We start from the raw sequence: 24011 nt of genomic DNA on the forward strand, positions 1-24011 counted from the left end.
TGGTGGATTCTTGGTCTCACTGACTTCAAGAATGAAGCCGTGGACCCTCACGGGAGCATTACAGCTCTTAAAGGTGGCATGTCCAGAGTTCGTTCCTTCTGATGTTCGGATGTGTTCGGAGTTTCTTCCTTCTGGTGGGTTCATGGTCTCGCTGGCTTAGGACTGAAGCTGCGGACCTTCGTGGTGAGTGTTACAGCTCTTAAGGCGGCGTGTCTGGAGTTGTTCGTTTTTCCCGGTGAGTTCATGGTCTCGCTGGCTTCAGGAGTGAAGCTACAGACCTTGGTGGTGAGTGTTAGAGCTCATAAAGGCAGTGTGGACGCAAAGAGTGAGCAGCAGTAAGATTTATTGCAAAGAACGAAAGAACAAAGTTTCCACAGTGTGGAAGGGGGACCCCAGCGGGTTGCCACTGCTGGCTAGGGCAGCCTGCTTTTATTCTCTTATCTGGCCCCACTCACATCCTGCTGATTGGTAGAGCCCAGGGGTCTGTTTTGACAGGGCACTGATTGGTGCGTTTACAATTCCTCAGCTAGACACAAAAGTTCTCCACGTCCCCACCAGAATAGTTAGATACAGAGTGTTGACACAAAGGTTCTCCAAGTCCCCACCAGAGTAGCTAGATACAGAGTGTTGATTGGTGCATTCACAAACCCTGAGCTAGACACAGGGTGCTGATTGGTGTGTTTACAAACCTTGAGCTAGATACAGAGTGCCGATTGGTGTATTTACAATCCCCTAGCTAGACATAAAGGTTCTCCAAGTTCCCACTAGACTCAGGAGCCCAGCTGGCTTCACCCAGTGGATCGTGCACTGGGGCTGCAGGTGGAGCTGCCTGCCAGTCCCGCACCGTGAGCCCACACTCCTCAGCCCTTGGGTGGTCAATGGGACTGGGCTCCGTGGAGCAGGGGGCGGCGCTCGTCAGGGAAGCTCAGGCTGCACAGGAGCCCACGGAGGCGGGGGGAGGCTCAGGCATGGAGGGCTGCAGGTCCTAAGCCCTTTCCCGTGGGAAGGCAGCTAAGGCCCAGCGAGAAATTGAGCACAGCGCCAGTGGGCCGGCACTGCTGGGGGACCCAGCACACCCTCCGCAGCCGCTGGCCCAGGTGCTAAGCCCCTCATTGCCCGGGGCTGGCAGGGCCAGCTGGCGGCTCCGAGTGTGGGGCCCACCAAGCCCATGCCCACCTGGAACTCCAGCTGGCCCGCAAGTGCGGAACGCAGCCTCAGTTCCCACTTGCGCCTCTCCCTCCACACCTCCCTGCAAGCTGAGGGAGACGGCTCCGGCCTTGGCCAGCCCAGAAAGGGGCTCCCACAGTGCAGCGGTGGGCTGAAGGGCTTCTCAAGTGCCGCCAAAGTGGGAGCCCAGGCAGAGGAAGTGCTGTGAGGGCTGCCAGCACGCTGTCACCTCTCACAAGCTCCACCTCTGGGGTTCACGCCATTCTCCTGCCTCAGCCTCTGGAGCAGCTGGGACTACAGGTGCCTGCCACCATGCCCAGTTAATTTCTTGTATTTTTTTTTAGTAGAGATGGGGTTTCACTGTGTTAGCCAGGATGGTGTCGATCTCCTGACCTCATGATCCACCCGCCTCAGCCTCCCAAAGTTCTGGGATTACAGGTGTGAGCCACCGCGCCCATCCCCTTTTTCTTTTTAGAGACAGGGTCTTGCTATGTTGTCCAGGTTGGTGCGAAACTCCTGGCCTTAAGCAACCCTGCCACCTCAGCCTCCAAGTAAACTGGGATTACAGGCGTGAGCCATCTTGCCCAACTTCCACTTTCTAGCTGTGTGATCTTCAGAAAATCAGTTAAATTCTCTGGGCCTTAATTTACTGATAGGGTTCTTGTAAGTATTAACCATTAGCTACTATTGAGAGGTGAAGACCGCTGGGCTTCTGGGTTGGGTGGGGACTTGGAGAACTTTTTTGTCTAGCTAAAGGATTGTAAATGCACCAATCAGCACTCTGTGTCTAGCTAAAGGTTTGTAAACGCACCAATCAGCACTGGGTAAAAACGAACCAATCAGCACTTTGTAAAACGAACCAATCAGCACTCTGTAAAATGGAAAATCAGCGCTCTGTAAAATGGACCAATCAGCAGGACATGAGCAGGGCCAAATAAGGGAATAAAAGCTGGTCACCCCAGCTAGTAGTGGTAACCTGCGTGAGTTCCGCTCCAGGCTGATGGAAGCTTTGTTCTTTTGTACTTCACAATAAACCTTGCTACTGCTCCTTCTTTGGGTCCATACTGCATTTCAGAGCTGTAACACCGTGAAGGTATACAGCTTCACTCCTGAAGCCAAGACCATGAACCCACTGAGAGGAACAAGAAAAACAACTCTGGACCTGCTGCCTTTATGAGCTGTAACACTCACCTTGAAGGTCTGTGGCTTTACTCTTGAAGTCGGTGAGAAGCGAGACCATGAACCCACCAGAAGGAACACATTCCGGACGCATCTGAACATCAGAGGAAACAAACTCCAGACACACTACTTTTCAGAACTGTATTAAGAACTGTAACAGTCACTGCGAGGGTCTGCGGCTTCATTCTTGATGTCAGCGAGACCAAGAATCCACCAGAAGGAACCAATTCCAGACACAGAATTATTTGCCTTCTTACTTCCTGAGAGTTCTAGGCACAGAACATACTTGAGGTGTTATACAAAGGTAATTAGAACTGACAGGGAATTGTATGATTAATGACGTGGGACATGAGAGATTTGGAACGAGATAAAAAGGCTTACCTTGAGGACAGCCTTATTAGGAGCAGAGGCAAACACAGGTTTTGTGGGTTTGAAGCCTACACATTTATAGCTTTCTCTAATTACACAGGTAGGAAATTATAAAATCAGGTACAAGGGCTTGGCAGGGGCCTAAAGCTTAAGTGATGAAAAAAAAAAACACCACACCTCTGGTGAAACCAATAGCTTACGAAAAAGTAGAAAAAAGCGCGATGCATGGGGAGCTCCGGTAGTCCTTTGAGGTATTTGAGAGGCTGAGTCAGGAAGATGGCTTGAGCACCAGGAGTTGGAGGTTTGTAAGTGCAGTGATGGTAAACTGCCGCTGTACTCCAGTCTGGCAATGTAGTGAGACCCTGTCTCTCAAAAAAAAAAAGTAACCCTTGCCTGACTGGGACAATAATTGAGAAACCAGTAAAACAAAATAATAACTATTAGCCGGGCGCGGTGGCTCATGCCTGTAAATCCTAGCATTTTGGGAGGCTGAGGCGGGCGGATTACAAAGTCAGGAGTTTGAGAAATTACTACCTATTACCCCATTTGGCTATTTTTACACTTGTAAGGAATGAAGCTCAGAGGTCACACAGCTAGTAAGAAGCCAGCACCCTTCGATGTGGGATTGATGTGGAGGATAGGCATATACAGAGAACACAAAAGCAAAACACCATGGTGCAGATTTTGAAAGAAAAGCCCTAAGATTAGTAATGAGTGTGAATTATTCAACAAAGTGATCAAAACTAACTCCAGCTCTGCATTCCTCTTCGCCATCAGGAGTTTGGAGCCTGGAGACTGCTAGCTGCCTGGTTCTTTAAGAACCAGCCCTGGTCCAGCCCATTCCGCAGGCCAGCAAGCTTCTGAAAAGCAAACCTAGGAAGTAGCTTTCCAACATAAAGTGGAGGTTTCAACACAGGAGACTTTAAGCAAGTTCCAGTGTGTCTATATTTGGTCTGGCTGATCGGCTGGACTCTGGCCTTCCCCGCTCACGTTAGCAGACAGCTCTGCCCTAGTGGGCGCTTAGCCTGCGACGGCAGCCCGAGAGGATGTCTAACAAGCTTCTTTCTCCCCACCCCCATTCAGTTGTTCTCAGGTCTGAATTCAAAATGGCCTCATCTCCTGCTGTCCTTCGAGCGTCCCGGCTGTACCAATGGAGCCTGAAGAGTTCGGCGCAGTTCCTGGGGTCTCCACAGCTGAGGCAGGTTGGTCAGATCATTAGGGTTCCTGCTCGGATGGCGGCGACGCTGATCCTGGAGCCTGCGGGCCGCTGCTGCTGGGACGAACCGGTGCGAATCGCCGTGCGCGGCCTAGCCCCGGAGCAGCCGGTCACGCTGCGCGCGTCCCTGCGCGACGAGAAGGGCGCGCTTTTCCAGGCCCACGCGCGCTACCGCGCCGACACTCTTGGCGAGCTGGACCTGGAGCGCGCGCCCGCGCTGGGCGGCAGCTTCGCGGGGCTTGAGCCCATGGGGCTGCTCTGGGCCTTGGAGCCCGAGAAACCTTTGGTGCGGCTGGTGAAGCGCGACGTGCGAACGCCCTTGGCCGTGGAGCTGGAGGTGCTGGATGGCCACGACCCCGACCCCGGGCGGCTGCTGTGCCAGACGCGGCACGAGCGCTACTTCCTCCCGCCCGGGGTGCGGCGCGAGCCGGTGCGCGTGGGCCGGGTGCGAGGCACGCTCTTCCTGCCGCCAGGTGACTCACCTCCGCTAATTGTTCCGTGTTCGTTCGCCTTTCACTTTGTGTGTCTCCCCCGCCCCACGCTTTTCGCTTATGTGTATGCCCCCCCGCCGCGCCCCCGGGCTATATTGCCCAGGCAGGTTTCGAATTCCTGGTCTCCAGCTATCTTCCCGCCTCTGCCTCCCTAAGAGCTGGGATTACAGGGTGAGCCACCGCGCCCGGCACTTTGAGGGGAGTTACACTTTTTTTTTTTTTCCGTCCCTGCCCTTTTCACACGAAGAAGGGATGTAGCTTCCAACCTTCCGGAGGTTAGTGTAAAGAAACAGGAATGGAATGGAAAGCTGATTGGGGAAGTGTCCCTGCCGCTCCAAAACTGAGAGGTCCCTCAAACCTAGTGCTCAGTTAAAAGACATTGTAAGGGCCAGGCGCAGTGGCTCACGCTTGTAATCCCAGCACTTTGGGAAGTCTCGGCGGGCAGATCACGAGATCAAAAGATTGAGGCCATCCTGACTAACACGGTGAAACCCCGTCTCTACTAAAAATACAAAACAGTAGCTGGGCGTAGTAGCGGGCGCCTGTAGTCCCAGCTACTCGGGAGGCTGAGGCAGGAGAATGGTGTGAACCCGGGAGGCAGAGTTTGTAGTGAGCTGAGATCGCGCCACTGCACTCCAGCCTGGGCGACAGAGCGAGACTCCGTCTCAAAAAAAAGACATTGTAAGGAAAGGAAAAAGACACTTATATTAAAAACAAAACAGGCCGGGCGCGGTGGCTAACGCCTGTAATCCTAGCGCTTTGGGAGGCCGAGGCCGGCGGATCACCTGAGGTCAGGAGTTCGAGACCAGCCTGGCCAACATGGTGAAACCCCATCTCTACTAAAAATAGAAAAATTAGCCAGGCGTGGTGGTGCATGCCTGTAGTCCCAACTACTTAGGAGGTTGAGGCAGGAGAATCGCTGGAACCCGGGAGGCAGAGGTTGCAGTGAGCTGAGATCATGCCATTGCACTCCAGCCTGGGGGACAAGAGTGACTCTATCTTAAAAAAAAAAAAAAAAAATTCAGGTAGTTTCAATTTTTTAATGTTCTTATTTATGTATTGACTAGGAAGCCACTTTTTTTTTTTTTTAAATAAGAATTCCGACTGGTTTTCTCACTGTATTTCCATGGCAGCTAGGAGGTGCCAGGTGGCTGGGCCTGTGACAGTGCAGAGGTTTTGGTGCCTGCCCGCCCACCATTGCTCCAGCTGCAGCTGCTGCCCCCTGCAGGGCCTGTTCGTTCCTGCTGCCTAGCTCCCCGCTGGCTGGCTATGATCTCCCTGTTACCATTCCAGGAGAGCAGCCGCGTCCCTATGCATGGCAGGACCAGGTACTATTGTGGCCTCTCCTCTTGGCCTCGAATGGTATCTTTGTCATCAGTGAGCAAGTCCCCAAAGACCACGGTCTTGTCCATTGTCAGGATAATTCACTCCACAAGCTGGGGCTCCAGGTGCTGCCCTACCCAGCGGTGCTTCTCACCCACACAGTGGTCATACTTTGGCAGGGGCTGGTGCAGTGTGAAGACCTCGGTGTTTTGCATGTGCTTCATCTCTTGCAAGGTCCTCCGGGGTTGGGCTTCAAGACTAGGGAAAAGCCTGGGCTTCACACCCGTGGGCCACTTTATCCACCAGGTCCGGCAGCAGGGTGAGGTACTGCTTCCAGACCAGGAAGCTGCGGTGCTGCTGCAGTGTCACATGCAGCTCCCTGAGAAGGGGCGGCTGAAGCCCCGCAGGAGGCCGTCTGGAAGCTGCCAGCACGCGGTCCCTGTCCATCAGCACACGCGTGGGCTGTGCTCATCGCTGCCGGGGCACTGGGGTTTCTCGGGATCCTAGGGGTATGGGGCCCAGAAATGTTCTTTAAAAGTTTCTCATTTTTGCAACTTTTCTTTGAATTCGCACAGTATGTTAAGATTTATGTAAATTAGCATTTACAATAGGAAAACCTCTTCCTGTCAAATGGAAATTTGAGGTTACTGGATACTTTTATATTACATAAAGAGCAATCAGCCAGTGTAAAAATGAAATGATGCTTATCCTTATTAATAATCAAAGAAATGCAAAATAAAACAACAGAGTACATTTCACACCCTCAGAAGTGGCCCACTTTTAGAAGCTAGCATTATCAATTGCTGACCAGTATGTGGAGGAAATGAAACTCACTGCTAGAAGGAGCAACATATTCATCTGCTCTGGGCAACAATTTGTCTTAACTTACAAAGTTAAATATGTTATTCTACTTGTACATGTGCACCAGGAGGCATATTCCTTATAAGAGGCCAGATGAGCAGTCTGGATTAATTTAAAAAAAGAGCAAAGTCAACTGGAAACAGTCCAAATGTCCATCAACAATAGAACAGATTAATAAATTGAGGTATATTTCCAGCAGTCAAAGTGATTGAACTACAGCTACAAGAATCAACATCTATCAAGATATACAAAAGAAAAGAAAAAAAAAGAATCAACATGGATGAATCTCCAAACCACTGTTGAGTGAAACAGTCAAACCCTAGGAGAACACATTCAGTATCATTCCATTTAGATACAATTCAAAAACTAGGCAAAATAAAATATTAAGGTACATAATCTAAGTGGTAATACTATGAAGAAAACCAAGAGTGATACACAGAAAGTCCAGGATACTGGAAAGAGAGGAAAGGGCACAGGGGTCTGTGGGACGTTGATGGTTTGCGGGTATCAGCACTGAACTATGTCTTAAAAGTGTTGCCTGTAAGGTGTTTGCATTTTTTTTTTTTTTTTTTTTTTTTTTGAGACAGTGTCTCGCTCTTTCGCCCAGGCTGGAGTAGTGGCACAATCTTGGCTCACTGCAACCTCCACCTCCCGGGTTCAAGCGATTCTCCTCCCTCAGCCTCCCGAGTAGCTGGGATTACAGGTGGCCGCCACCACACCCAGCTAATTTTTGTATTTTTAGTACAGATGGGGTTTCACCATGTTGGCCAGGCTGGTCTCGAACTCCTGACCTCAGGTGATCCACCCGTCTCAGCCTCCCAAAGTGCTGGGGTTACAGGCGTGAGCCACCGGACCCAGCCTGCATTATTACTATTTAATTTTGTGTGAAACACAAAACCTTTAATGTAAATGATAAAAATATCAGTAAGTGGAGTCATTCAGAATGAGTAGCCTTTTGAGTCTGTCTCCGTTGAGTAAGTGCATTCTGTTGAGTGCACTGGAGAGGAATTTGTGCTCTTCTATGTAGCAGTCTTTCTTTTTGTTTCTTGGTGGTGCACCATTAAATGGATTCATTCACCAGTTAAAGGACATTTGGGTTGTTTCCAGTCTTTGGCTACAACGAGTAAAGTCACTATAAACACTTGCCAGAGGTTTCTGGACGAACAGGTTTTCATTTCTCGTGGGTAGATACCTAGGAGTGGGATTGCTGGGTCACATGTGTGGTAAGTATATGTTTAACTTAAACCATCCAACTGTTTCAGGAATAGCTTAGTTTTGCATTTTGTTTTGTTTCTTCCCAAGAACCTGGGCCCTTTCCTGGGATTGTGGACATGTTCGGAACTGGAGGTGGCCTGCTGGAGTATCGGGCTAGTCTGCTGGCTGGGAAGGGTTTTGCTGTGATGGCTCTGGCTTATTATAACTATGAAGACCTCCCCAAGACCATGGAGACGCTCCATCTGGAGTACTTTGAAGAAGCCATGAACTACTTGCTCAGTCATCCCGAGGTTAGTTCTTCTTTCAGATTTATGGGCTATGATGTATCAGGTCTCTTCTTAAATGGTCTGGGTTTTCACAGAAGTTAGCTCATTCATGACAGCCATTCCCTACCCCAACACACACTACCTTTTTTAGTCACTTCTTATAGACAGTTTCTTTTTTTGAGATGGAGTCTCACTCTGTTGCCAGGCTGGAGTCCAGTGGTGCGATCTTGGCTCACTGCAACCTCCACCTCCCAAGTTCAAGTGATTCTTGTGCCCCACCCTCCCGAGTAGTTGGGATTACAGGCACCTGCCACCATGCTTGGCTAATTTTTGTATTTTTAGTGGAGGCGGGGTTTCACAATATTGGTCAGGCTGGTCTTGAACTCCTGACCTCAAATGATCCACCTGCTTTGACCTACCCAAGTGCTGGATTACAGGCATGAGCCACTATGCCCAGCCTAATATTTGTATTTTTTTTTTTTTAAGTAGAGATGGGGTTTCGCCATGTTGGCCAGGCTGGTCTCAAACTCCTGACCTCAAGTGATCTGCCCACCTTGGCCTCCCAGAGTGCTGGAATTACAGGCATGAGCCACCACACCTGGCCTCTTATAGACAGTTTCTATTCAATTCTATATTACTATATTTCCTGCTAGTAAAGAGATTCGTAGTTGTTATTATGCAATTTTAAATTCCAGTATTTTTTTTTTTTTTTTTTTGAGATGGAGTCTTGCTGTGTCACCCAGGCTGGAGTGCAATGGCATGATCTCGGCTCACTGCAAACTCCACCTCCCAGGTTCAATTGATTCTTCTGCCTCAGCCTCCCACGTAGCTGTGACTACAGGCACGTGCCACTACTGCCCGGCTAATTCTTGTATTTTTAGTAGAGATGTTTCACCATGTTGGCCAGACTGATCTCAAACTCCTGACCTCAAATGATCCACCCGCCTCAGCCTCCCAAACTGTTGGGATTACAGGCGTCAGCCACCACTCCCGGCCATGAGATGATGTACTTGTTGATGATGACTCAGTTTAGTTATGACAGTGGGAATGGGTGGCTCAGGTGGGAGACAGAAAAAGATCATGGGAGATACGAGATTAAGGAACTGAGAAACCAGAGAATAATTGATAGATCTTCCACATGGTTATCACCAAGAGTGGTGATGGACAAATTGTGGAAAGGAAGAGATAGAGGGGAGGTAAATTCTCAAAGTTGCAAATCTGGGTAAATGGTAGAACCTAGATTCAGACTCAGGTTCAACTAACTTCCAGGGTGGACACAACTCACCATATTCCACTGTTTGTGGAATCATTCTTCTTCTTTTTCCTTTGTCCCTTTCTCAGGTAAAAGGTCCAGGAGTTGGGCTGCTTGGAATTTCCAAAGGGGGTGAGCTCTGCCTTTCCATGGCCTCTTTCCTGAAGGGCATCACGGCTGCTGTCGTCATCAACGGCTCTGTGGCCAATGTTGGGGGAACCTTACACTACAAGGGCGAGACCCTGCCCCCTGTGGGCGTCAACAGAAATCGCATCAAGGTGACCAAAGATGGCTATGCAGACATTGTGGATGTCCTGAACAGCCCTTTGGAAGGACCTGACCAGAAGAGCTTCATTCCTGTGGAAAGGGCAGAGAGCACCTTCCTGTTCCTGGTAGGTCAGGATGACCACAACTGGAAGAGTGAGTTCTATGCTAATGAGGCCTGTAAACGCTTGCAGGCCCATGGGAGGAGAAAGCCCCAGATCATCTGTTACCCAGAGACAGGGCACTATATTGAGCCTCCTTACTTCCCCCTGTGTCGGGCTTCCCTGCATGCCTTGGTGGGCAGTCCTATTATCTGGGGAGGGGAGCCCAGGGCTCATGCCATGGCTCAGGTGGATGCTTGGAAACAACTCCAGACTTTCTTCCACAAACACTTGGGTGGCCACGAGGGGACAATCCCATCAAAAGTGTAAATTTTATTTGATCATGTGGCCTCTCTGTTGCTAATCTCTCCTGGAAACATCTGCCACATTTAGTGTGTGTATGTGTATTCATTCTTTTGTTTTTAATAACTAAAGTTTTTTCCCCTCATTATTAAAATGAATTTACCAGTAAGAATGAGTTTTTAAGATTTTTATAAACTGTATACTTTATCAGTTTGGGAAGGGAGTAACTGTAGGAAACACAAGAAGTGGAAAAAGTCTCCTCTTCCTATCTCAACACACAACTGATAAGGCTTTAGTTCTGAAAGGAAAAGTGAGTAACATCAATTAACAGTGTCTGGTACGTAAATGGAGTTCAATAATTATTTGCTGAATGAGTATAAGTGAGCCAGGCGTGGTGGCTCACACCTGTAATGCCAGCACTTTGGGAGGCTGAGGTGGGCGGATCACTTGAGGTCAGGAGTTTGAGACCAGTCTGGCCAACGTGATGAAACCCCATCTCTCCTAAAAATACAAAAAATTAGCCAGGCGTGGTGGCAGGCACCTGTAGTCACAGCTACTTGGGAGGCTGAGGCAGGAGAATTGCTTGAACCTGGGAGGCGGAGGTTGCAGTGAGAAGAGGTTGCAGTGAGAAAAGATTGTGCTACTACCCTCCAGCCTGGGCAACAGCAAGACTCTGCCTCAAAAATTAATTAATTAATTAATTAAATGATTACCTACTGTGGAAGAAAAGCACATAATATAAAAAGTGTATCAGATTTGAGTTCCTCCTTTAAGAATGGAAGTTAACATCTTGCCTATAAACTGATTACTAGTTAGATATAAAACTACTAAAAATTTTCAAAACCAATACATATTTAGTTCTTTGATATCTTCTCCTTGGATTAATAAGGATTCTCCTAGTGCAAATAAATTTTACATTCCTGTTTATACATATGGACTTTTAGGATTTGTTTCAAAAGCTGATAAAACATTATTGAGATGAATTACATAAGTGATTTTAACAATGACAAATGTGAAGTTAAATAACAATTTAGGCTTGGCGTTGGTGACTCACACTTGTAATGCCAGCACTTTGGGAGACCAAGGCCAGTGGATTGCTTGAGCTCAGGAGTTCAAGACAAGCCTGGGCAACATGGGAAAACCCCGTCTCTACAAAAAAATAGCCAGACATTGGTGGTGCATGCCTGTAGTCCCAGCTACTGGGGAGGCTGAGGTGGGAGAACCACTTGAGCCCTGGAGGCAGAGGTTGCAGTGAGCTGAGATCGTGCTACTGTGCTCCAGCCTGGGCAACAGCAAGACACAGTCTCAAAAAAAAAAAAAAAAAAAAAAAAAAAGACAATATTTATATCACTTGATATAAATAGTTCCACAATAAACTTGTTTTTTTTTTAAACCTTAGTTGTATTTAAAGGAAAAAAAACCTTAATTTATTATTCTTTTCTTTTCTTTTTTTTTTTTTTTTGAGAGAGGGTCTCACTCTGTTGCCCAGGCTGGAGTGCAGTGGCACAGTCACGGCTCACTGCAGCCTCAACCTCGTAGGTTTAAGCTATTCTCCCACCTCGGCCTCCCTAGCAGCTGAGACCACACAGGCACACACCACCATGCCTGGCTAATTTTTAATTTTTTGTACAGATGGGGTCTCCCAGTGTTGCCCAGACTAGCCTTGAATTACCGAGCTCAAACAATCCTCCTGCCTCAGCCTCCCAAAGTGCTGAAATTACAGGTGTGAGCCACCGCTGCCAGCTTCCGGCACCTTTTTTCTAAAGGAATTCATGGTTTTGTAGCAGTAGAATATAACCAGATCTACAGTAGAGAGATGATACCCTGAGATGAAGCTACCTCCTGTGTTACTCTGCAACCCAGGAATGCAGCTGGTGCCATGTCTCCAAACTTCCACAAGAATGCCAGTGCTGGGCATGGAGCCCCATTTAGAGTACACATGACCTGAGGCTCTGAAAACTCTTAGAGATGATGCAATCTGGGACAGTTGCTCATAGCTGGCCTGGCCAAGTCCCACCCCAAGATGCCAGGCCACAACACAAAATTTCAAGTCATATTGTTTTATCTTTTCCCTTGCAATTATATAGTATATGACTCTCTTAGAAAAGTGCAATAGTTAAAACTTGTTTTAGTAGATGCTAGATCCCAAACTTGAGTCTGCTGAAGCCCTTTTGAGACCTTAGGGACCCTATTCCCCATTCTTAGAAATTCGGGCTGGTGAATATTAAAAGCACTACAGATGAGCTGGTGGGTGTAGAAGCACATGCCTGTAATCCCAGCTACTTGGGAGGCTGAGGCAGTAGGATTGCTTGAGCCCAGGAGTTCAAGTCAGCCTGGGTAACATAGTGGGACATGATCTTATAAAAACAATTTTTTTTTTTTGAGACAGAGTCTCACTCTGTTGCCCAGGCTGGAGTACAATGGCTTGATCTTGGCTCACTGCAACCTCCGCCTCCTGGGTTCACGTGATTCTCCTGCCTCAGCCTCCCAAGTAGCTGGGAATACAGGCACCCGCCACCATGCCCAGCTAAATTTTGTATTTTTAGTAGAGATGGAGTTTTGCCATGTTGGTCAGACTGGTCTCGAACTCCTGACCTCAGGTGATCCACCCAGCTTGGCCTCCCAAAGTGCCAGGATTATAGGCGTGAGCCACCGCCCCTGGCAAAAAAATGTTTTAATAACATGAAAAATTTTAAAAAGCATCACAGGGGTTCAGATCACCTATCAGCCTCTTGACATTTCATCTTTTTTTTTTTTTTTTGAGACAGGATCTCTCACCCAGGCTAGAGTGCAGTGGCAGTAACATGATCTCGGCTCACTACAGTCTTGATCTCCAAGACTCAAGTGATCCTCCCACCTCAGCCCCCTGGGTAGCTGGGACTGCAGACACATGCCACCATGCCCAGCTAATTTTTGTATTTTTGCAGAGACAAGGTTTCACCATGTTGCCCAGGCTGGTCTCAAACTCCTGGGCTCAAGCAGTCTGTCCATCTTGGCGTACCACACTGATTGGATTATAGGCATGAGCAACCGGGCCCAGCCTAGTTAGTCTTTATTAGTTATTTGACAGGCATTTTTCTTTTTATTTTCAACCCATGCAAGCTGTGAACGTGGTGAAACAGACCGAAAAGTTCATTAAACTAACATGCTCCATAATGATTGATTGATTGATTTTAAAATAGAGGCCGGGTGCGGTGGCTTATGCCTCTGTAATCCCAGCACTTTGGGAGGCCAAGGTGGGCAGATCACCTGAGGTCAGGAGTTCGAGACCAGCCTGACCAATGTGATGAAACCCTGTCTCTACTAAATACAAAAATTGGCCAGGCGCGGTGGCTCATGCCTGTAATCCCAGCACTTTGGGAGGTTATGGTGGGCAGTCACGAGGTCGGGAGATCAAGACCATCCTGGCTAACACAGTGAAACCCCATCTCTACTAAAAATACAAAAAATTAGCAGGGCGTGATGGCGGGTGCCTGTAGTCCCAGCTACTCGGGAGGCTGAGGCAGGAGAATGGCGTGAACCCGGGATGTGGAGCTTGCAGTGAGCTGAAATCACATCACTGCACTCTAGCCTAGGCGACAGCCAGCCTCCATCTCAAAAAAAAGAAAAAAAAAAAAAAAACAGCCAGGTATGGTGGCATGCGCCTGTAATCCCAGCTACTTGGGAGGCTGAGGCAGGACAATTGCTTTAACCCAGGAGGCAGAGGTTGCAGTGAGCCGAGATCACGCCATTGTACTCCAGCCTAGGCAACAAGAACGAAATTCCGTCTCAAAAAAATTAAAAAAAAAAAAAAAAAAAAAAAAAAAAACGCTGGGTGTGGTGGCTCATGCCTGTAATCCCAGCTCTTTGAGAGGCCAAGGCGAGGGGATCATGAGGTCGGGAGTCTGAGACCAGCCAGGTCAACATGGTGAAACCCCATCTCTACTGAAAATACAAACATTAGCCGAGCGTGGTGCTGGGCGCCTGTAATCCCAGCTACTCGGGAGGCTGTGGCAGGAGAATCACTTGAAACCGGAAGGTGGAGGTTGTGGTGAGCCGAGATCGTGCCACTGCACTCCAGCCTGGGCAAAAGGGCAAAAGCCGTCTCAAAAAAAAAAAAAAAAAAAAAAAAGTAGAGATGGGGTCTCCCTATGTTGCCCATGCTGGTCTTAAACACCTGGGCTCAGGCAATCTTCCCACCTTGGCCTCTCCCAAAGTGCTGGGATTACAGGCATACACCACTGCACCTGGCCATCATGAATAATTTTAAAGGGAACCACTACGTAAACAATACCCACGTCCAATGGGCATGGTTTTTAAAAGCATATTTAAAGTGTATAACATGGACCAGGCACGGTAGCTCATGCCTGTAATTCCGTCACTTCGGGAGGCCAAGGTGGGTGGATCATTTGAAGTCAGAAGTTCGAGAGCAGCCTGGCCAACATGGTAAAACTCCATCTCTACCAAAAAATAAAATAATTTGCCAGGCCCACATGGTGGTGTGCACCTGTAGTCCCAGCTACTTGGGAGGCTGAGGTGGGTGAATCGCTTGAACCTGGGAGTCGGAGGTTGCAGTGAGCCAAGATTGTGTTACTGCACTCCAGCCTGGACAACAGAGTGAGACCCTGTCTCAAAAAATAAAAAGTATACAAAGTGATGGGTGGGGCAGGGGGTTGTTTTTGTTTTAAGAGACAGGCTCTGGCCAGGCTGGAGTGCAGTGGCGCTATCATAGCTCATTGCAGCCTCAAACTCCTGGGGGCTCAACCCATCCTCCCACTTCAGCCTCCTGAGTAGCTGAGACTATAGGTATTTGCCACCATGCCCAGCTAATTTTTAATTTTTTGTAGAAACAGCGTCTTATGTTGCCCAGGCTGGTCTCGAACTCCTGGCCTCAAGTGATCCTCCTGTAATCAGTAGAACGGTGCAGCTGCTCGCCACTTGTAAAAAGAAGCCAATATAATAAGAGTGAAGTGTGATAAAGAGAGTGAGTTTTATTATCCATGCTAGCAAGGGGAGAAGTGAGTGTAGTTATTTGCAAATATTTCCACTCTTCAATTTGTGGAGGGAATCCAGGAGCTTTTGAAGAGAGAGTTTGGAGTGCAGAAGAGGCAGCGGAACTAGGAGTTGTCGGGTGGCGTGACCTGCTCCACTGGCTTGTTTTGAAGTATTGTTTCATCTGGTGAAGGAGCCAGTGCCATCATGGTGGCTAGAGATATCTGGTCCATATCCAGATCCAGTCCCTGAAGCTGAAGGAAATATATGACCAGGTAATGGTGTGTACTTAACAAGCATCTAGGTAAATACATGTGCATAAGGCACAGAAGCACAGAATGGGAAAAGAAAGGGCGTGGAGGTTCAGCACATTCTGAGGGTGTATTTCAAGATGAAAGGAAACTCATATGCAGATGGTCTCAGAGTTCTATCTTGAGACTCACTGGGGGAGGAGAAAGGGGGAAAGGAAAAAAAAGTCTTAAGGTTTGAGGCTAAGCTGCTAACCTGCTTAGTTACACTCCCACCTTGGCCTCTCAAAGTGCTGGGATTATAGGCATGAACCACTGTGCCAACCCAACATAGTGTTTTGATATGTGTATATTAACACACTGTGAAAGGATTCACAGGTAATTAACCAGGTAATTCCAGGTAATTAACCTATCCATCACCTCACACTTTTTTTTTTTTTTTCTTGTGGTGAGGACACTTGTCTTAGTCTCTTCAACTGCTGTAACAAGATGTGTTAGACTGGGTAATTTATAAACAACAGAAATGTATTGCTCACAGTTTTGGAAGCTAGGAAATCCAAGATCAAGGCACCCACAGATCTGGTGTCTGGTGAGGGCCTGTTCCTCATAGATGGCACCATCTTGTGTCCTACCTAGTGGAAAGAGCAAGGCAGCTCTCTTCAACCTGTTTTATAAGGGCACCAATCCCATTAATGAGGGTTCCACCCTCATGACAGTCACTTCCCAAATGCCTCGTGATGTGTGTGTGTGTGTCTGTGTATGTGTGTGTGTGTGTATCTCAGGGGCTCCAGGCCTCAATACAATGGGTATAACAACAATCCCATCTTGTTGGGAGGAATTAACAATCATGCATCGAGCCCTGGGCCTCAGGCTTCAATGTATTAGTTATTAGAGCTAATCATTATTTAATGTTTTAAACACCCCCAAGGAAGTAGAGAACATTCCTGTCACATTCTGCAGAAAAAGAAATTGAGGCAAGGGGCAAAGCCATTTGCCAAGGTCATAGATCCTGCAAGCCAATGGCAAGGCAGGATCTGAACCTGGGGCTTCAGATCCTGGGGCTTTACCTGATTAAATACCAAGAGAGAGTGCTGAGATTTTTTTGGTGGTGGACAGTCCCTGAGGCAAGCCATTTTTAGAGCATCTGGGCCACTTGGGGAATTGAATCTTTACCAGGGCTTCCCACCTCCTGTTGCCCCTTCTCTGAAGGTGACCCCCCTCCCACAGTAGCACCCCAACCACTCAGAACCCCCAAGCCACCTTCTTTGCACATGCTGAAGCTAATATTGCCCTCCACTCCACCCCAACATCAGGGACCCTGGCCCAAGCCCTTCCCTGGGAGCCCTTCCTCCTCTCATGAGGCCTCCTTCCCAGCCCCTCAGAACAGCCTCCTTTATGAGAGTGGCCAAGATCCCACTGAAACCTTCCCTATCAACTTTATAAAATTAATCAGGGGAGAAGGGAGGGGCGAAATGGAAATCAGCCCAGCTTGCAGCACACACAGCATTGGTCATGAGGTCAGCTGCTCTCTGACCCACTTGCTCAGAGTTGTTTGCTGCCTGTTGCTCCAGAGTCACATAGACCCTGTCACAAGGTCATAGTTCCCCTTCACTGCTCATAGATAACAACTGGAACATTATAAAACGTTAACTTTTCCATTTGAGATATTCTTTCAGGTCCTGCGTAGCAATGAAACTGAGGCAGGATAGGTACTTAAGGGAGTGACCGTGTTCTCAGGATGCAGCGACCATGGCACCCATACAGTCAACACAGTGAGCCTCAGCATTCGCATTGTCATTGCGCTCATTCAAGCAAAGCTGTCTTCATTAGGGAATTTCCCCCATAGACAGCATGAGCATTTTGATTTTACCTGTCCTCAAACTGACATTTTGCTCATTATAATAGTAGAAGACAGCCCTACATGGAGATGTAATATGCTAATGAGACATGTGACATATGAACAAGCATGTACAGCTACTGTGCATGTGCACCCAGAAGACCACCCGGAACATGCTTACTAGCAACACCTCTTCCCACCACCTTATGAATAATCATGTAAGACTCCCATAAAGGGAGTCTCCCTACTGCCAGTCTCTGCTGTCTCACCCTTATGAGCAGCCTGCCTTGAACCCTCTCTCTCACGGTATACAGTCCATTCTGCATGTAACTTCCAAAATATTCTTTTTCCTTTGCAATAAATTACTCTATGCTGCACTTCTTTCGCTGTGTGTCTCATTTAAATTCTTTTAAACCAGATGACAAAAACCGAGCTGTCATATCAGCCACCAATGAAACTGCTGATTCCAGCTTCTCTGAAGGACCCCACAGGAACTCACTCACTAAAGAATGCAGTTTTGGCTGCGCGCGGTGGCTCACACCTATAATCCCAGCACTTTGGGAGGCCGAGGCGGGCGGATCACGAGGTCAGGAGTTCAAGACCAGCCTGGCCAACATAGTGAAACACCGTCTGTACTAAAAATACAAAAATTAGCCGAGTGTGGTGGCATGTGCCTGTAGTCCCACCTACTTGGAGGTTGAGAGGCTGAGGCAGGAGAATCACTTGAACCCGGGAGGCAGAGGTTACAGTGAGCTGAGATCGTGCCATTGCACTCCAGCCTAGGTGACAGAGTGAGACTCCGTCTCAAAAAAAAAAAAAAAAGAATGCAGTTTCCACCTCCTGAAAATTTAATCCCCTTTACCCCAACCAATCAATAAGCCCAATTTTCTAGCCCTTTACCCTCCATGATCCCTTTAAAAACCCTGTTATAGGTAGTTACATAGAGCTGAGCAGGGAAGGAGAGGGCTTTTCTCCCTCACTCACTAGGAATGTCAGGTGATGGTTCGACAGTTACCACGTTGCCTCTCTAAACTGAAAATTGGCGGTTGGTGCCAGAGCGCCAGAGTGAGACAATCTCCTGATGATCCACAGCTGTTAACATTAAAGTGTTAATTGAATGCAGGTGCCAGGGAGAAGCAACTTCCTGGGCACGTGCATTAAGAGACAAAATGGCAGGCCAGGCGCGGTGGCTCACGCCTGTAATCCCAGCACTTTGGGAGGCTGAGGTGGATGGGTCACCTGAGGTCAGGAGTTCGAGACCAGCCTGACCAACATGGTGAAACCCCGTCTCTACTAAAAATACAAAAATTAGCCGGGTGTGGTGGTGCGCACCTGTAGTCCCAGCTACTCAGGAGGCTGAGGCAGGAGAATCGCTCGAACCCCGGGAGGCCGAGGTTGCAGTGAGCTGAGACCACGCCATTGCACTCCAGCCTGGGCAACAAGAGTAAATCTCCGTCTAAAAAAAAAAACAGACAAAATGGCTATGTATGACCTTTCCAGGACACTCCACTGGAAAAGGGAAGAAAGCCTCAGATGGGCATGTATACAACTTCCTACACACACTGTGCATGCTCACTTCCGAAAGGTAAAGAGAGCACAGAGCATGAGGGCAGCTCACCCTCAGAGAAGAATCATGAGAAAGAGGCGAGCCTATAAAGTCCTAGGATCACAGTTAAACGGGGCTCTTGACCTTCAGGTGCCCGGTCAGGTCTCTTCCAAGTGAACTTTCCTTTCTTTCATGTCCTAAAGACTTTTTAAATAAACTTCCACTCTGCTCTGAAACTCACCTCCATCTCTTTTTCTGCCTTATGCCCCTCAGTCAAATTCTTTCTTCTGAGGAGGCAAGAACTGAAGTTGCTGCAGACCTGTACAGATTCGCCACCAGTAACTCAGACACCTTCCACTGGTAACAACCCCAGCCCAGAATTCTTCAAGGAGATGGATTTGAGGGTCTCCTCCCATCTCCTTGCTAGGTGCCCTGTGATCATGAAGCTCTTTCTGTGCTGCAAACCCTGCTGTCTCAGTGTAATTGGTCTGTAACAGCAGAGTGGGCATTCTGCAGCCTCTTCCTTGCCCGGGGCCTGTTGGGAGCCCCCAGCACTGCCTGTACCATCATAAACCCACCCTGGCCCCTTTCCCAGGCTCCAAGCTCAGAGGAGGCAGAGGCTTCATTCTAAACTACAGCATCCCCTCCCTAATCCTCATTTGCCTTCTCCTTCTGAGCTTGGGCCCCATTTTTTGAGACCCTACCAGCCCCCATTCCCACAATCCCCTGTGCCGACACAAATCAACCTCCCCATGTCCCAACCAATGTCAACCCCAATTTAGACCAGTGCATCCCACAGCTATTCTAGCACCCCATAAACACTCCAGTGTCCCCCACTTCCTGATCCCGTAACACCTTGGGCCCTCCAGATAACCCGCTGCTCCAGCCTGGCAGTTTGTCAACCCCCTCACCCAGACCCCCAACACCTCATGCCTGTCTTATGCCATGAGTCTGAGGCCCCTGACCTGGGTGCCACCCAGGCCTGTCTGTGTGGGCAGCTCCCCCACCAGCTCCCTTCCATCCCCCATGGGCCTTATCCCGGGTTTCTTACACCCATGCACACACTATCCAGCATTCCTGACTCCCACTGTTCCTGTCTCACGACCTGGCCACCTTGTCTCGCTCATCTGCCATAGCCCCTGCCTGGCCCAGCAGGACAGGCCTAGGTCAGGGCAAGGTCACAGGTCAGCACCAGGGCTGGTGCTCCACCCCCTAGGACACAAGCCTCCTGCTCAGGACACTTTCTGGGGTCCTGTGCCTCCCCTTCTTCTCCCCCAGGTGCCAAGTCCCCACTTTTTAATACTATCGCATTGAGGCTGGGCATGGTGGCTCACACCTGTAATCCCAGCACTTTGGGAGGCTGAGGTGGGCGGATTACCTGGGCTAAGGAGTTCAAGACCAGCCTGGGCAACATGGTGAGACCCCGTCTCTACTAAAAATCCAAAAAATAATTAGCCGGGCTTGGTAGCACTCGACTGTAATCCCAGCTACGGGGGAGGCTGAGGCATGAGAGTCACTTGGAACCCAGGAGGTGGAGGTCCAATGAGCCGGGATCGCACCACTGCATTCCAGCCTGGGCAACTGAGCAGGACTAGAACCCCAAAAAAATTAAAATAAAAAAGTACTATCACATTGGGTATTAGGTTTGTTAAATAAAAATCATTGCTGTGGAGGATACACTGGGAAGGGAATGAAAAAAAAAAGTATAGGAGACCACTGTTTTGTCTTTTTCTTTTTTTTTTTTTTTTTGAGATAAGAGTCTTGCTCTGTCCCCTAGGCTGGAGTGCAGCAGCGCAATCTCGGCTACTTGGGAGGCTGAGGCAGGAAGGAGAACTGCTTGAACCTGGGAGGTGGAGGCTGCAGTGAGCCAAGGTGGCACAACTGCACTCCAGTCTGGGCGACAGAGTGAGACTCTGTCGCAAAAAAAAAAACCAAAAAAAAAAAAAACGTAAACTGCCAAACCAGTATGATTTCTTTTCTTATGGAAAACATTTATTTTTTATTTTTACTTAAAAATTTTTTAGGCTGGGCACAGTGGCTCAGGCCTGTAATCCCAGCACTTTGGGAGGCCGAGGCGAGTGGATCACCTGAGGTCGGGAGTTCAAGACCAGCCTGACCAACATGAAGAAACCCTGTCACTACTAAACATACAAAATTAGCTGGGCATCGTGGCGCATGCCTGTAATCCCAGCTACTCAGGAAGGCTGAGGCAGGAGAATCACTTGAACCCCGGAGGCAGAGTTTGCCGTGAGCCGAGATCACGCCATTGCATTCCAGCCTGGGCAACAAGAGCAAAACTCCGTCTCAAAAAGAAAAAAAAAATTTTTTTTTAGAGGCCAGGCTCAGTGGTTCATGCCTGTAATCCCAGCACTTTGGGAGGCCAACACAGGAGGATCACCTGAGGTCGGGAGTTGGAGACCAGCCTGGCTAACATGGTAAAACCCCGCCTCTACTAAAAATACAAAAAATTAGCCTGGCGTGGTGGCATGCACCTGTAGTTCCAGCTACTTGGGAGGCTGAGACACGAGAATTGCTTGAACCCAGGAGGTGGAGGTTGCAGTGACCCAAGATGCACCACTGCACTGCAGCCTGGGAGACACAGTGACTCTGTCTGAAAAAAAAAAAAAAAAAAATTGTTTTAGGGACAGTCTTGCTCTGATGCCCAGAGCTGGAGTGCATTGGTGTGATCATAGCTCAACTGCAGCCTCAAATTTCTGGGCTCAAGCCATCTTCCCATCCCAGCCTCCCTGAGTAGCTGAGACTGCAGGTATGCACTACCACACCTGGCTAATTTTTTGTAGAGATGGAGTCTTGCTCTGTTGCCCAGGTTGGTTTCAAACTTCTGGTCTCAAGCAGTCTTCCCACCTGGGTCTCCCAAAGTGCTGGCAAAACATTTTCTGTTTTAGTTCCATACTGAAGTCCACAAGTGTTCAATTATTTGTTTGTATTTTTCTCTTAGTTTTATGGGGATATTACCACAAAATATTGAGTTTACTCAATTTCCTCCCTAATATAGAAAAATTAAATGATTCCCTGCCTGGTGTAAAAAAAAACAAAAACAAAAAAAAGATGATTTCTTCAGCCCCACGAACAGCTGCCAGTCATTCTTGGGCATTTTTTCTCTGCATTAGCTTCGGGGTGTCAAGATAGACCGTTGATTGAGCCTACTGACAGGAGTATTTGCATACTTGTTTGGAGATTTATCAAAAATAGGATATATTTTGACACAGACTTCTTGCTCCCCCCGCTCCCCTTTTGGCAACATCCACTTTTTTTTTTTTTGAGACAGAGTCTTGCTCTGTCACCCTAGCTGGAGTGTAGTGATGCCATCTTGGTTCACTGCCACGTCCGCCTCCTGGGTTCAAGCAATCCTCTTGCCTTAGTCTCCCGGGACATTGCTGGGACTACAGACGTGGGCCACCACACCCAGCTAATTTTTGCATTTTTAGTAAAGACGGGGTTTTGCCACATTGGCCAAGCTGGTCTCAAACTCCTGGCCTCAAGTGATCTGCCCGCCTTGGCCTCCCAAAGTGCTAGGATTACAGGAATGAGCCACTGCACCTGGCCCATCCACTTGTTTTTGCTTTATTTCAATACTTATTACTATTCTGATTATCAGTAAAATTTCTGCTAGGAACACAAGTGGATTTAATTTATCTCCCCTGACTTGTTTCCACGGGACCTCCCATTCCCACTTGATTTTGAGGATTGAAGATAAACTGGGAGAGAATTATCTAGCAGCAAAATACTGCTAATGCGCTTAATTATTTTGTTTTCCAACACATATTTTATGTCAAATTGTGTTCAAATCTAAATACAACACAGTCTTCTTAAAGTCAGTCTCCAACTTCCAAATTCCTTAATTTGCCCCATTAATAATCATAACTCCTATTAGACCCACATTTTATTTCTCTCATTTTTTTTTTTTTTTAGACGGAGTTTCGTTCCTGTTGCCCAGGCTAGAGTGCAATGGCACAATCTCGGCTCACTGCAACCTCTGCCTCCTGGGTTCAAGCGATTCTCCTGCCTCAGCCTCTCCAGTATCTGGGATTACAGGGCCGTACCACCACGCCAGCTAATTTTTGTATCTTAGTACAGACAGGGTTTCACCATCTTGGCCAGGCTATTCTCAAACTCCTGACCTCAAGTGATCCGCCCGCTTCAGCCTCCCAAGGTGCTGGGATTACAGGCATGAGCCACCGAGCCCGGCCTATCTCTCTAAATTTTAAAAGCGTCCTTTCCTGCCCTAGATTTCAAAAAGCCATCAGTACCGTCATGTGAAGTTCCTCCGTTACACTCATTGTCAGGTACCTGCTCAGCATGTATTACACTTCTTTTAGGAGAATTCCTGATTTCACTGCCTCTCCCCCTGCAGCTATGGGTTCTAGGGAATGCTAACTCCACCCTGATCCCAGGGGCAATGGTGGCAATCTCCATTTGGTTTAAGCCAACTTCAACATTCGATGACAGGAGAAAATATGTGACTTGGACCTTTCTTAGAAATCTGAATCTTCTCCCTCCTACTCAACATAAGCAAAAAAGGATGAGGCCCCAATTACACTGACAGCCACCTTATGATGTTATTAATGGCAGAGAAGACAGAAAGAAGAGGTTCCTGGTGTCATCATTTAGCCATTGGATCAATCAAATGTTAAGCCAGACCCACTCTTGATTTTCCATCCAATACATTTACTTTTCTTTTTTGTGTTTAATTTAATTAAAAAGTTAAAAAAAAATTAAGGAACAGGGACATGAACCCTGGACCCTCAGATTAAAAGTCTGATGCTCTATCAACTGAGCTATCTGGGTTGTTTACTTTTTTTTTTACGTTTTATATTTTAAAGCAGTTTCAGGTTCATAGCAAAATTGAGCAGAAGGTAGTGATTACCCATATACTCCCTGTGCCCCCCAAAACTTGCATAGTTCCCTTATCTCCACTATCAACATCCCCCACCAGAATGGTACATTTGTTACAATTGATTAACCTTCACTGACATACCATTATCACCCCAAATCTCTAGTTTGCTTTAGGGTTCGTTTGTTCTACATCTACAGTTTTGGACAAATGTATAATGACATGTATCCACCATTACAGTATCATACAGAACAGCTTCACTGCCCTAAAAATTGTTCCAACTATTCATCCCTCCCTCCCCACAATCCCTGGCAACTACTGATCTTTTTACTATCTCCAATACTTTTGCTTTCTCTCTTCCTTCCCTTTTTTCTTTTCTTTTTCCCTTTCCTTTTTTTGAAAGTTTCGCTCTGTCACCGATGCTGTAGTGCAGTGGTATGATCTCAGCTTACTGCAACCTCTGCCTGCCAGGTTCAAGCAATTCTCCTGCCTCAGCCTCCCAGGTAGCTGAGACTACAGGTGCACATCACCATGCCCCACTAATTTT

The 24011-nt window shown here is 47.9% G+C and overlaps 2 protein-coding genes and 2 pseudogenes across 5 annotated transcripts in view, besides 6 other annotated features; 1 reads left to right on the forward strand and 3 right to left on the reverse strand.

Annotated features, from left to right (window-relative positions):
• The window catches only part of HEATR4 (HEAT repeat containing 4), a 155331-nt gene that overhangs the window by 86996 nt on the left and 44324 nt on the right, over positions 1–24011 (reverse strand). The gene's annotated exons all lie outside the window — the stretch shown is intronic.
• Positions 1040–1557: an enhancer, noted in NCBI's record as "H3K27ac-H3K4me1 hESC enhancer chr14:74033223-74033740 (GRCh37/hg19 assembly coordinates)". NCBI's record gives its function as "activates a minimal SCP1, AML or CMV promoter by ChIP-STARR-seq in naive H9 embryonic stem cells {active_cell/tissue: H9 hESC(naive)}" and the evidence as "EXISTENCE:reporter gene assay evidence [ECO:0000049][PMID:30033119]".
• Positions 1951–3150: an enhancer, noted in NCBI's record as "BRD4-independent group 4 enhancer chr14:74034134-74035333 (GRCh37/hg19 assembly coordinates)". NCBI's record gives its function as "activates an origin of replication core promoter dependent on BRD2, P300/CBP, MED14 and CDK7 cofactors, and independent of BRD4, by STARR-seq in HCT116 cells {active_cell/tissue: HCT116}" and the evidence as "EXISTENCE:reporter gene assay evidence [ECO:0000049][PMID:35650434]".
• ACOT2 (acyl-CoA thioesterase 2) lies at positions 2141–10179 on the forward strand. Of its 4 annotated transcripts, NR_046028.1 has the most exons (4): positions 2141–2650; positions 3799–3917; positions 7909–8111; positions 9429–10179. NR_046028.1 is itself a non-coding variant. In NM_001364177.1 (3 exons), exons 1-3 carry the CDS (start codon positions 3866–3868, stop codon positions 10032–10034), a joined length of 861 nt encoding a protein of 286 aa, NP_001351106.1. In that variant the 5' UTR covers positions 3580–3865; the 3' UTR covers positions 10035–10179. The 4 variants fall into 4 exon arrangements, 3 of the variants coding, with proteins under 3 accessions (NP_001351106.1, NP_001351107.1, NP_006812.3); NM_001364177.1 differs by lacking the exon at positions 2141–2650 and having other exon boundaries at positions 3580–3917; NM_001364178.1 differs by lacking the exons at positions 2141–2650; positions 9429–10179 and adding an exon at positions 8807–8928 and having other exon boundaries at positions 3580–4404.
• Positions 4345–4514: an enhancer, noted in NCBI's record as "experimental_36532 CRE fragment used in MPRA reporter constructs". NCBI's record gives its function as "activates a minimal promoter by MPRAs in K562 erythroleukemia cells, with activity observed for both the introgressed and non-introgressed 14:74036613 variant alleles {active_cell/tissue: K562}" and the evidence as "EXISTENCE:reporter gene assay evidence [ECO:0000049][PMID:34662402]".
• Positions 5518–6173, reverse strand: NT5CP1 (5',3'-nucleotidase, cytosolic pseudogene 1; annotated as a pseudogene).
• Positions 16763–16812: an enhancer, noted in NCBI's record as "active region_8701". NCBI's record gives its function as "activates an Ori minimal core promoter by ATAC-STARR-seq in GM12878 lymphoblastoid cells {active_cell/tissue: GM12878}" and the evidence as "EXISTENCE:reporter gene assay evidence [ECO:0000049][PMID:35858748]".
• Positions 17183–17272: an enhancer, noted in NCBI's record as "active region_8702". NCBI's record gives its function as "activates an Ori minimal core promoter by ATAC-STARR-seq in GM12878 lymphoblastoid cells {active_cell/tissue: GM12878}" and the evidence as "EXISTENCE:reporter gene assay evidence [ECO:0000049][PMID:35858748]".
• Positions 17293–17392: an enhancer, noted in NCBI's record as "active region_8703". NCBI's record gives its function as "activates an Ori minimal core promoter by ATAC-STARR-seq in GM12878 lymphoblastoid cells {active_cell/tissue: GM12878}" and the evidence as "EXISTENCE:reporter gene assay evidence [ECO:0000049][PMID:35858748]".
• On the reverse strand, positions 23346–23418 carry TRK-TTT14-1 (tRNA-Lys (TTT) 14-1; annotated as a pseudogene).

This window comes from Homo sapiens, chromosome 14 (assembly GCF_000001405.40).
Source record: "Homo sapiens chromosome 14, GRCh38.p14 Primary Assembly".
NCBI lineage: Eukaryota > Metazoa > Chordata > Mammalia > Primates > Hominidae > Homo > Homo sapiens.

What these genes read in the sequence shown, in the direction of transcription:
- ACOT2 (NM_006821.6), top strand. Translation starts at nt 3,762, where the DNA reads ATGTCTAACAAGCTTCTTTCTCCCCACCCCCATTCAGTTGTTCTCAGG. An exon ending in CACGCTCTTCCTGCCGCCAG is followed by an intron (nt 4,405 to 7,908) that starts GTGACTCACCTC and finishes TTTCTTCCCAAG; the next exon opens with AACCTGGGCCCTTTCCTGGG. An exon ending in ACTTGCTCAGTCATCCCGAG is followed by an intron (nt 8,112 to 9,428) that starts GTTAGTTCTTCT and finishes TCCCTTTCTCAG; the next exon opens with GTAAAAGGTCCAGGAGTTGG.